Consider the following 13,232-nt stretch of genomic DNA (forward strand, 5'->3'; position numbering starts at 1 on the left):
GAATATGGATAGAGAATTTCAAGACTAACAAATTATGGTTAACAGTATTAAATGTGATAATAAAGTGGTAGGTATGTTAAAAGGCTTATCAATGAAATATAAAGAACTATTTATAGTTAAAATAACAATCACTAGAAACTGCTTTACAAATGCCTAGAAAAAGAAAGTGTGTCAGGAAAAGGAATAACAAAAGAATTAGCAAAATTTTGAAAACTGTTAAAGCTGAGAATATGTGGGTTCACTTTACTATGCTTTCTATATGTCTGAAGTTTTCCACAATAAGAGTAGATGGGGGAAAATACCAATTATTACAGAACTATCTGTCATTCTTATCTCTGGCTCTTAACTTAAAGTGGGACTTTTTAACACATAAAGGCAAAGAGACGAGGAAACCAATATGATAGCCATACTTTTCTACCTGATAATTGAGACATAAAGTTTGTCAAATATTTGTCTGATCTGAGGCACTTACAGATAATTTCTATTTTATATTTTAAGGAAAACAAAAATACAAAAAAACTTGAATAAAAGCTGAAATATTTTTCAAAATCCCATCTTCTCAACAGAAATATAGTTTTCATTTATACCCTTCACATCTTTTTTCTATAAAATCATACTGTACTATAATTTTAGTGTCCGCATTTTTCCACTTAATATTTCAATATAAGCATGTTTCCATATGATTATATATTTTCTACATACATAATTTTGTATAGTTACATGATATTAGATCTAGTGGTTGTACCACAATTTATTAATATATTCACTTATATAATATTAGGTTTTAGGCTTATATTAGAGTTATAAAGGAAAAAGTAAACTATGTATATATTTATTGTAATTAAATATTTATTAATAATTATTATATATAATATTGTCATTCACAGGAATCCAAAATTATACTGAAAACATCAACTTAGAATATGCTTCTAACAAACAATGTTTTCTCATAATTGAGAAGTGACTATTGAAAATATTGAGGGTAAAAAATTTACTTTTTATGTGATTAGTTTGCCAGCCTAACTGCAGTTTTTCAATTATGATATCCAATTAAGAAAGGATAGTTGCATGTCACATGAGATAATTATCATTAGTAGAAATAAATAGCATGGCAATAATTCATCGGAATTTAATTTCATGTCATATTCTGGGACTCATTAAAGCAAAAACAAAACAAACAATGACAAAAATCTAGACACTATTTCAAGTAGGAATTCACTTTCTCAAAGATAATACCCCATGGGATAAACAAGGATTAATTTATAACATTTTATCTTCATTTTAGAGTATGAGATCTGAAAACCAAAAACTATCCCTATGATAATAAAATGTAATGCTTCATTTGTTTGAAGACTCAATCTTCTTAGTTGCACAGTTCCTGGTGAGTCATCTGAGACCATACTGCCAAGATTAATAAAGCTAAAAAAAAAAAAAACTCTTGACACTTTTCTAGGCGATATTGTTATTAAATAAAAGATAGGAGTTAGTAATCAATAAATAGCAAGTGTGCAAACATGCCCTGGGAAATAATTAACCAGGTAAGTTTACTTTAAATGCACTGTGAGGACAGATCATTACCATTAATACTTAAAATTATGAAGAATTCATATTTAAGTATGAGTTAATACTTAAATACTTAAGAGAATTATATCAAACAAAAGTTCTATATGATCCACAAAAATTAGTATATAGAATGAGGCTAACCTTTAAAAATTAAAAATTTAAATTTCTTCTAACCTAATTATATACAAGAATTATGATATAATGTGATATAAAGCTATAATAAGCATGCTTTATTAGAAGAACTGTAACATTTCATTTATGAGTTTCCTTATCTGGCAACATCAACTATATATATAGAATGTAGCTGAAATGTTTAAAAGGCCTTTAAATAACAAAAAGAGATCTCAGTAAGTTTATGCATGAAAGTTCACTCCTGTTCCTTTTTTTATTTTTTATTTTATTTTTTTTTTTTTGAGACAGGATCTTGCTCTGTCACCTAGGCTGGAGTGCAGTGGCATGGTCACGGCTCACTGCAGCCCTGACCTCCTGGGACCAAGCAATCCTCCCACCTCAGCGTCCCAAGCAGCTGAGACCACATGCATCAACACATCTGGCTCACTTTTTTAATTTTTGTAGACATGGAGTCTTCCTATGTTGCCCAAGCTGGATTTGAACTGCTGGTGATCCTCCTGCATCAGCCTCTCAAATTATTGGAATTAACAGGCATGAGCCATCATGCCTGGCCATCCTCTTGTTGCTTTTAAGAGAGGCCTTCTCTCTTACAGATTTTTTTAAATATCTCTTATTACAGAGACATCTATGTCATCTATCACATTGGTTATCTGATTTTCTAGTCCAGAGTCAAATTAGGAAGAGAAGCAGAACTGCAGGAGACAGCCACGAAAGCAACAAATAGAATATCAATCTGACTATAGGGAAGAAAAAATACGTTAAGTACAAAATATTCCTTATGAATGCTGAGTATGGGCAAGAAATCATGAACAACATTTCATTCATTCAACAAATATTAATTCATGCCCATGATGTGACTCTCTGATCCAAGTACTAAGGAAAACAACAGTTCAGTAAGATAGACCAAAAAATTCTTACTCTCCTGAAGCTTATGTTCAAGTCCAGGAAGACAGATAATAAGCACGTAAAAAATTAACAAAATAACATCACATTTGTTACCTCATTTGATCTTCACAACACAACCCAGAAAACAGGCTGTTCTCATTCTATCTAATTCAGATTGCCGTGCAGGATCAATACTACCAATTGGTCAATTTGGGATTGAACCGTGATCTAATTCCAAAGTAATATTCTTAACAATAAAAATTTTCTTCATAGCACTTGATCAAGGTTTAAAATTATACATTTGTGTGATCATTTAGGTGGTGTCATTTTTTTTTCACAACTAGACTTTATATCACAAAGATAGAAATTCCATCTGGTTTTGTTCATTATCATATACCTGGTATCCAATCCAAATGCCTGGCACACAGAAGTCACTCAGTAGGTACTAGTTAATTATTCAGTGAATTGTTTTATAGATATACAGCTATTTATCTCAGTAACCCCTGAGAATGTTATCATGGTGGTGAACCTGAGTTATCAAAAAAATTAAGTTCAGCTCTTTCCCATCTTACAAGATGGCAGGTGAAAAAGTTGAGAAGCCGGATACTAAGGAGAAGAAGCCTGAAGGCAAGAAGGCTGACACTAGTGGCAAGGTGAAAAGGGGTAACTTCAAGGCTAAAAATCCAAAGGCCGAAATCCTGTCAATTGTCAGAAGAATTGGCAGATATGCCTGATCTGCTATGTATTCTAGGAAAGACATGCATAAAAGGAAATACTCACCCAATGAATCCAAGATTGAAAACAGAAAGAGGTTCTTGCAGCCATTAGAAAATCAGTTGGCGGTGACAAGAACAGTGGTACCCAGGTGATTAAACTTCACAAATTGCCTTGATATTATCTTAGGGAAGACGTGCCTTGAAAGCTGTTGAGCCACAGCAAATAACTGCAAGCCAGTTAGCATGTGAGAAAACTGCAAGCCAGCTCCCAGGAGCACTCTGATCATCCTCACTGGCCGCCACAGAGGCAAGAAGGTGATTTTCCTGAAGCAGGTGGGCATTGGCTTGTTACCTGTAACTGGATCTCTGGTCCTCAGTCGAGTTCCTCTACGAGGAACACACCAGAAATCTGCCATCGCCACCTCCACAAAAATTGCTCTCAGCAATATGAAATCCTCAAACATCATACTGATGCTTACTTTAAGAAGCAGCAGCTGTGGAAGCCCAGCCATCAGGAAGGTGGGGTTTTCAACACCAAAAAAGAGACATATGAAATTACAGAGTAGTGTAAGGTTGATCAGGAAGCTGTGGACCTGCAAATGTTACCAACAATCAAAGCTATTCCTCAGTTCCAGGGCTACCTGCAATCTGTGTTTGCCCTGATGAATGGAATTTACCCTCACAAATGGGTGTCCTAAATTTCTTAAGCAGAATCTCATTAAATGACTGATACATTTTGGGGAGAAAATTAAGTTCAATACCACCCAAAGAAGGCAATGTGTAATACATTTTATTTAAACAATTCTTCCCAAACAGTTTAATTGAAAAAGTTTTTGGAACTTAAGTGGAATCCACAATCATCTTACTGTCACGGATACCTCTTTCCATATAGTTTCTAGGGTAGGGTTTGAAGTCACTAAGACACATTGAGTACAGTAATTTCTCTCTATTTACCAGTTCTCTTGATTTAGGCTAACAAAATTATTACATCCAAAAGAGCAAAACAGTGATGTTATAAAGATATACATATTAGGTTGGATTGGAACCCTTATGTTTTTACTGTGTATTTGTTTGAAAAAATAGAATTCCTTAAAATAAATATTTAAAATGGAAGAATATTAACACTAGTAACTACTTTAGAAAATACGTTCCATTAAATTTAAAATAAAGAAGTGAGGTGTAAAGAGATTAACACACCTGCCCAAGTCACAAAATGTCTAAGTAAACAAAATATATAAAAGTTGTGTATTCTCATAACTACTTTGCCCTGAAACCACTAAATTATAAAAACACTACAATTGATTAAAAATAAAAAGTTAAAATCTTTTTGGGGGGAGGGGCATGGGGGAGATTAAATGTCCCAAGATGGTCTTTTGAGGAGATAGATTTTTGTATGAGAATAAAACCCAAAGGTGTGTTTATGCTAATTTTTAGAGTGCTTGATTTAGTTACGGAGTCCCAAAGGCAAGTAGACCAAAGGCAAGAAAGAAAACAACTTCCCAAGAGATGACGGAAAAATAGTGCCTCATTGACTTCTAGTAACTGTATAATGAATGTCTTTAGTAACAGCTGGCCTACTGTGCCATCTACACAGTTGTGTGCAAAGGGATACCTACAAATGCCCTCAAATCCTTATCCTAATTCAGGCCACACTAAAGCACTTTTTTTAAAGAGTAAGAATAGCTGAATCAACGACTAGTATACTATCTAAGATAAGAAATAAATAAGACTATATCTAAAAGTTTAATATACTTTATGTCCTCACATTACAATATCAATGGCTAACATTATTAGGCTGTTTCTTATGTGCCAGGTTTTGTTCTGAGTTTTTATAAATGTTTTATAAAAGTTCTGAGTTTCATTTACTTCTCACACAACCATATACTGTCTCCCAATATCTGGTATGCTTACTGTAAGACATACATTTGAACTCTTGGTCAGTGATCTGTTGAGTAGCATACTACATTTTAACAGGCCCAACATTTACCCTTTAAGATAATATTATTGTAGAACTTGGATTAGAGGGGACACTGAGTGATTGTCAAATGTGGGTTAAGACTATAAATTTTTTGGAACAGAGAATATAAATATTTAGGCACCACAATAATTTTTAAAATCATGTAAAACAAAGTATATATTATCACAGTAAATTACCAAATGTCCTGCTTTGTTGTTTTTGGGGGGTTTTTGAGACAGGGTCTCACTCTGTCACCAAGGCTGGAGGGCAAGTGGCATGATCATGGCTCACTGCAGCCTCAACTGTCCTGGCTCAAGAGATCCTCAGCTTCCTGAATAGCTGGGACTACAGGTGTGTACCACCATGCCCAGCTAATTTTAAAAAAATTTTGAAGAGATGGGGTCTCACTATATTGTCTAGGCTGGTCTCAAACTCCCGGGCTCAAGCCATTCTCCTGCCTTAGCCTCCCAAAGTCTTGGGATTACAGGCATGAGCCACCATGCCCAGCCGTGTTATTTTTAAATATATCTTTTTACCTATATCTATAAACATTCTGCAACTTCCTATTATTATATTGCTACTATAATATCTAATGTTTGTATTAATTTACACGTTTCAGCTCAGTGTGTACCTCAAAATTCACAACTAATTTTCAGGTCACAGAGGACAATTAACTGTAGCTATTGGTCCTTTCCTTTAGACATTTTTCATTGCCTTCTAAAAGTATGTAAGATGACTTTTATCAGGAAAGACAGAATAGACATCTGAGATTAAGACAGATTTGACAGATAAAGGGTAAGGATTATTAACTCAACAACTAGATCAGTACCCATCACCAAATTTTAAGGTAACATGAAATAAGATTTAATTCTTTTTGTTTCCATACCAACAAACTAAATATCACATTCCTGTGGGACTAGTCAAATTTTGTTCATAGGTTTAGGATGAATAATGTCATTTAAGTATTTTTTCAGAACTATGAAGGCAAATGTGACCTCCTATGTGACTATTTTCTATTTATCCTTTTTGAAGTATATAGTTTATATCCTATTTTCTTAACCTTTTAAAAAAATGAAATATAAGATACATATGCATAAGTACTTAAAGCATTTATCTCATGTTTAGCTTGTAAATATGAAGCAATAACTCCCCTTACTCTTCCACTTTCCCATAACCACCACTCACAGGTCAAGAAACAGAGCATTAGCACTCAGGAAATGCCCCCTCTTATGTGAAGCTCTTCTATTATACTTAATTTAGGAATAATGAAAGCTAAATCAGTACTTTTTTACTGAGATCCTGAATAATTCAAGCACCTCAGTGCAATCTGAATCGATTTCCTCCTTCTGACCTCTATGTTATTGCTGTTATAGACTTTTTTTAGCCCCACAAAACATATTTTACTACTGTTCACTTACACATGCCCATATGGTTACTTACCATTTTATTTGTTCTTGAACCCTTCTTCATCCCAATTTTCCATCCAGATAATATACTACTGCCCAAAGTATATCCTTTATGTTTAGAGTCTACTAGTCTACTCTCCCAGCCTTGGTTTGTCTCAAAATGTTTGTCCTTCACACTCAGACTTGAAAGATGATTTCTCTGTGTATAGAGTTTCTAGGTAAACAGTTATTTCCTTTCAACATACTAATGGTACCATTCCACTGTACTCTGGCTCCTGTTATTACTATTGAGAAGTCAGCTATCCGTCTAACTATGTTTCAATTAAGATTATGTCTTTCTCCCACTTCTGGTTGCTTTTGGACATTCCATTTATCTTTGTTTTTTCACATTTCCTATATGTCCAGAGGTAGATTTCTTTTTAGTTGTCCTGATCCAAAATCTGTGTTTGGCTTCCTGAATGTGGTGTCTTTCAACAGTTCAAGTAATTTTTCAGTCACTCTCTCTTCAAATATTGCTTCTATTTCTTTCTATAGTGCTTCTTCCACATCTCCAACTAAGTGTCATATTAGACCTTCACACTATATTCTCTACATTTTAAAATGACTCTTCTGTATTTTCCATTGTTTCATATCTTTTGCTACATTTTGGAACTTTTCTTCTAATACTTCTTCTATGTCACACATTCTCTCTTCAACTGTGTCCAGTTTGCTGCAGAAACCACTTACTTAGTTATTATATTCAGTATTTTTCAGAAGTCTTATTTAGCCTTTTTCCAAATGTGCTTATGTAACTTGATATAGTTTGTTCCCTGCTGGCATTTTAAGCCTATCTTTTATTTCTATAATCAGGCTACCATTTTAAAGTCATCAGTGTTTGGTAATTCTAATATCTGAAAACTTTATGATCTTTTTTTGCTGTCTGTTGTGCACTCCTTATTCTTACTCTTCTTGCTCTGTCTCCTTATATGTTTGATTATATTTGCCTGTTTGTTAATCCCTGCCCTTGGCAAATTATTCATGAGGATTTCCCTAGGCTAAAAAAGGTGCCTTCCTCCAGAGGAAATCTGCATTTGCCTCTGCCATTCCAGAACCACTTAAAACTAGGGATCTCTTGGATCACTCATTGATGCAAACTTGGATTGAAAATCCATGTAAAAAGTCTCCACCATGATCAGAACATCTCAAAGATAGGTTTTTTGTTTTTTTTTTTTAATCTTCTGCTCTGCTTAGCCCCAAGGCAAATCTCCCTGTGGTCCCTAGTGGTGGGGAAAGGGAAACAGTTTTACTTCCAATGTACCTTTACTGTAATGGCATAGGCCCTGAAAGAGAATGGTCTCTACTAAATACAAAGATTTTATTTCATCTTCCTGCCATGGGCAGAGCCAAGGGCTTTGACCTATGTTCATTTTTGCTGTTGTTGTTGTTGTTGTTTTTGAGACAGAGTCTCACTCTGTCACCCAGGCTGAAGGGCAGTGGCACGATCTTGGCTCACTGCAACCTCAGCCTCCTGGATTCAGGAGATTCTCGTGCCTCAGCCTCCCAAGTAGTTGGGACTACAGGCATGCACCATCACACCCAGCTAATTTTTGTATTTTTAGTAGAGGCGGGGTTTTGCCACGTTGGCCAGGCTGGTCTTGAACTCGTGGCCTCAAGCCATTTGCCCATCTCGGCCTCCCAAAGTGCTGGGATTACAGGCATGAGGAATCTCAACTGGCCTGATTTATCTTCTTATCATTCCACAATCTATTAAATCTTCAGCTTGATTTTGCTGGATTTGGTTTTAGTTTCTCTCCTCCCTTCCCCCAAAAGATATCAAAACTTCAATTTAATTTTGTCTAAATTTAGCCTCAAAAAAAGCAGACTGCTGTGCTTTGCTTACTTTTTGAGCTCTGGCTTTCTCTCAGCTTTTGGCTTGGCAATTAATATTTGCTAATTTCTAATTTTTGAAATAAACAAAATTTAAAAATAGAATTATCACATAATCCAGCAATTTCACTTCTAGAATACCCAAAACAATTAAAAGCAGGGACTCAAACAGATATTTGTTCATCCATGTTAATAGCAGCCTTATTCACAATAGCCAAGGGACAGAAGCAATCAAATATCTATCCACAGATCAAATGTTGTCTATATAAAAATAGAATATTATTCAGCCTTAAAAAGGGAATTTTAACACACAGGCTATAATGTAGATAAATTTTGATATTATGCTAAGTACAATAAGTTTGTCACAAAAGGACAAACACTATGTGATCCCACTTATACGGTACCTAGAGTAGTCAAATTCATATAGAAGGTAAAGTGGTAGTGGCCAGGAGCTGAAAGCAAGGAAGAATGGGAAGTATTGTTTAGTGGATATAGAGTTTCAGTTTGAGAAAATAAAAAAAATTCTGAAGATGGATGGTGATGATGATTACACAACATTTTGATTGTATTTAATGCCATTAAACTTACATTTAAAAATAGTTAAAATGGTAAATTTTTGTTATGTATGTTTTATAATTTTGAAAAATACTTATGAGTTTTCTTACCTGCCCATTTATTATAAATACATAAATAGTATTTATATGCTTCCGAGAAGTATTTATATGCTTAACAAGGACATCTTCAGAAAGTGCTTTGTGGTTTAAGTGTCAAGTCTGAAATACCATTAAATAGACTAAGCCCTTACTCCTAAAAACCTTTGAATCTGAAAGATGTTTTCTTCATATACAACTATGTGAAGGAAAAATAACAAAGGTATTGGAAAATAGCAAGATATAAGAAATAAAATTAGGCCTCATTTGATATTCTACTCCCAGTGTCAAAAGGCTCATAGAGATCCATTTCACATTACTTCAATCCAGATATCTTTGAATCAAAGCTGTTTCATATAATGCTATAATATAAAATTGTATCTCCGATTAATTTTAAAAATCTATAGTAATATTCTCAAACATGAGTAACATTAAAAAACTAAAATTTGTAGAATTTCACTACTATGTACTTATTTTATAGAAAGTTCAATTAGAGAATATTTTAAAAGTTCAATTCTTAACTAGTTTTATAAGCATTAATTAAGTACTTTTCATTATAAACATATTTATAGTTAAGGGATTAAAAAAAAAAAATTCTTAGAAACCACTAACACCCTTTCCTAGGGGTAGATTACTCAGGCTCCAAAAACAAAGGGGAGAGGAGAGGAGGGGAGGGAAAATGAGAAGGAATAAGGGAAAAGGAAAAATGTTTTACTTGTCAAAGCTCCTCAGGCTCCTTTAACTAGTCTTAACTAGTCTATAATCACCTCAGATTAACTAGTCTATAATCTTAACCAGTCTATAATCACCTCAGAAACAAGTGCATCCACACATATCTTAATCTATTTCATGCTACTCTTAAGGAACAGGCATATTTTTTCCTGTAATAAGATCCCTCCATAACTTTGTGATAAGGTGTTTTCTACATTTCTCACCTGTAGCTCCTTCCTTTCCCTTTATTTTAATAAAGATGCTTAAATTTCCTCCATCTTAAAAACAAAATATTTTCTGTGACTTTGTATGTCCCTTTTATTATAGCCTTTAAAATCAGTGGCCTTGAAGGGTAATCTTGACCCCCTCTCTCTACTTCTTCTCCAATTCTCTTACTAATTCACTCTTACCTCTTTCTCCATCATGCTCTTGTCAAAGTCTCTCTTGCCAAAGTCTCAACACATTACTGACAAAACCAACAGATATTTTCAGTACTCTCTTTGGCATACGAAACAATAGACCACGTTTCCTCAAAATTTGCTACTTTTCCTTCAGTGTTATTATTATTCTTATCTGCAATATAGTCTGGTTTCTATGTTTCTGGTTAAATAGATTTATAGATTTTTTAATACATATTATCACAAATTGTGGAATCTTTACAAAACATTTTAATGAAATCAGGAGTCAGGAGTATCCCCCAAAATCGTTTGTTTTACATGGTAGTTTGCTGGTTATCTGGTAACAAAGCACTTATAAAGAGCTATTAAACTTAAAGATAAATTATGCATTTTAGATAACTATCAACTGTTCTAAATTTGATCACTTTCTCTTTGATAAAAAGTAGAGAAAGTATTACATTATCTAGCAAATGTTAGAAAATAAATACCTTTCCTTCAAGGAAAATATGATATTTTGACAACAAATGGGAAAATAAATGCTTTTTGAAACACACATTATGTACCAACTATTTTAAAAAGAGTTCATTGTTGCCAAAAATGTAATTAATTAAAACACGTATCAGCACACTTCAAAAAACGTGAAGAACAAAATTTTTGTCTGCTTTTAAATCTATCAAAACATTTTCATAGGTTTTGAACTTGTTAAAAACTTTCAAAAGCAAACCTTTTCAATTAGGTTGTAGCAACAACTAATTGACATGAGGAAAGACAGTATTCAGTAGCTGATTCCAACAAAAACCTTTGAACTACTAGTAGACAGAATTAAAAAATGTAATTTAGTAAACATGGCCAATTTTCCATTTCTTTCATTTGGATCTACATATCTTTATGAGGTATCTTTTTCAAGTGTAACAGTTATTAAAAGCCAGTATTCAAACAACTACACACAATTCCATTTTTATTACATAATATTTTATTAAGTAGTTACATGTTTCACCAACCAGACTGTGAGTTATTCACAAGTGAAGACTTCTGTCTTCATATTTGTGTCCCTAGGACTTGACTATGTGGCATACAATAAATAATTATGCAATCAATGCTTTGCAAATGAATGACCAGAAATACAGGCAAGTATATTAAAATGAAAATTCACAAACACATGAACACACACATGTAACTATGTGTGTAACTGTGTAGTACTTGATTAGGTAAACAAAGTATTATCTAAAATGGGATTAGCCCCAAATCACAATGCTTATACACCAATTTGATGTGTTTTATGGGGCAGCTTAAAATACATTCACCTACATTATGACTTTCCTAATTAGGATACGTTCTCATAAATGAAAATATCATAGTTATCCTATACAATATGTAAGAATCTTTACGTTCAACATGTTTTATCACTGATATGAGGAATGAATATAAAGTCGAGAAAAAATAAAGCAAAACCAATAGAACTGTTCCCACAATAGAACAATGGATACATAACTCAACATAAATAAAATAGTAAAAGTATTAAAGATTAGATGTTCAAAATAACCAATTAGAAATAAAAATCAAATGTCAGCTTTTTATTTTTTATTATTTATTTATTTATTTTTTTGGAGACAGAGTCTTGCTCTGTTGCCCAGGCTGGAGTGCAGTGGTGTGATCTTGGCTCACTGCAACCTCCATCTCCCAGGTTCAAGTGATTCTTGTGCCTCAGGCTCTTGAGTAGCTGGTACTACAGGAGCACACCACCACGCCCGGCTAATTTTTTGTATTTTTAGTAGAGACGGGGTTTCTCCATGTTGGCCAGGCTGATCTCGAACTCCTGAGCTCATGAAATCTGCCCACCTCAGCTTTTTATTTTAAGACTTTGTTTACATCCACTAATTTCACAAAGAATTTGATGGCTACTTAGCATAATTTTCACCATGCTATAAATTTTCATTTTATGCTATATTAGAAAGTTATTAAAATAATAAATTATATAATTTTTAACACAAATATTTCCCAAAATTACACTTAGTTCTCTATGGTAATTAAAGCAAAGAAGCCAACATTCCAATTTTATCTGAAAAAAATTAGACAATGCACACATAAAATGATATTCTATTGGTATGTCTTCTAATTTTATCTTCAAAAGGAAAAGTTCTAAGAGAAAAGGAAACAAAGCACAACAAATGCTGTTCCCAAAAAAGGACTAAGATTCATAGTGTATATATTTTTGCTAATATAGATAAATTGTTAATGTTTATAGGAGTTATTAATTATAGTAAAAAAAATTTACCTTATATAAAGCTAAAATACAAAATGATTAAAACTTAAGCTGAATCTAATGGGTGATAGCTACCAATGTTCTGTGCCTAAACTATATCTAGGGTCTTTTTTCCTCAAAATGCACTGCAACGACAGCATGGAGCTCAAGAATACAAAAGGTACAAAGTGGAAGGTATATTAAATAAGGCAGTACTTCTACAGCAAATGTTATCACCACTATTCTTTTTTTAAGAAACATTATGAAACTTCCCAGAAATCTCTCTCCCTCATTCCTAGATTTATCATTACCTTAATTGTGTAAATTTAATATTATCAAAAAATGCATCCATGGTATATTGATTGTACTCTAGTAGCCCCTAATGTACAAAAAAAGTAGCTATAATACTTAAAATATCAAAACAAAATCAAAATAAGATAAAATAGGCAAAGTTGAATTTAAAAGCTAAGCTATTCCATTGATACCTACCTCCTGTAAATGCCATTAGCCAGACATTTATGGCTACAGGATTTGGAAGAGAGGGGTGATGAAGTTGGGGACAAGTTGAGAGGGGCAATCAAACTGTTGATGATCTCAGTCAACTGTGCACTCTGCAAGGAAACAGTCAACCTTTTACTACTGCTAAGCAAGAAATGTGAGTTAAAGCTCAGATGCATAGTGCCAATTAATCCTTAACTTCTCATGA

At 33.4% G+C, this 13,232-nt stretch overlaps 1 protein-coding gene and 1 pseudogene across 18 annotated transcripts in view; one reads left to right on the top strand and one right to left on the bottom strand.

Annotated features, from left to right (window-relative positions):
* Positions 1-13,232, bottom strand: part of KANSL1L (KAT8 regulatory NSL complex subunit 1 like) — a 151,340-nt gene that overhangs the window by 63,650 nt on the left and 74,458 nt on the right. For 12 of the 18 annotated variants that reach the window (XM_047443489.1, NM_001307976.2, NM_152519.4 and 9 more), the window contains one exon: positions 13,016-13,137. The exons of 1 other annotated variant lie outside the window; for it this stretch is intronic. In XM_047443489.1, coding sequence (XP_047299445.1) covers positions 13,016-13,137 — 122 coding nt within the window. Of the gene's footprint in view, positions 1-831; positions 1,420-11,234; positions 12,424-13,015; positions 13,138-13,232 lie in introns of those variants that run through there. 5 more of the 18 variants (XM_047443493.1, XM_005246334.6, XM_047443492.1 and 2 more) reach the window with 3 other exon arrangements.
* On the top strand, positions 3,156-3,994 carry RPL6P6 (ribosomal protein L6 pseudogene 6; annotated as a pseudogene).

The sequence above is a fragment of the Homo sapiens genome, chromosome 2 (assembly GCF_000001405.40).
Source record: "Homo sapiens chromosome 2, GRCh38.p14 Primary Assembly".
Lineage (NCBI taxonomy): Eukaryota > Metazoa > Chordata > Mammalia > Primates > Hominidae > Homo > Homo sapiens.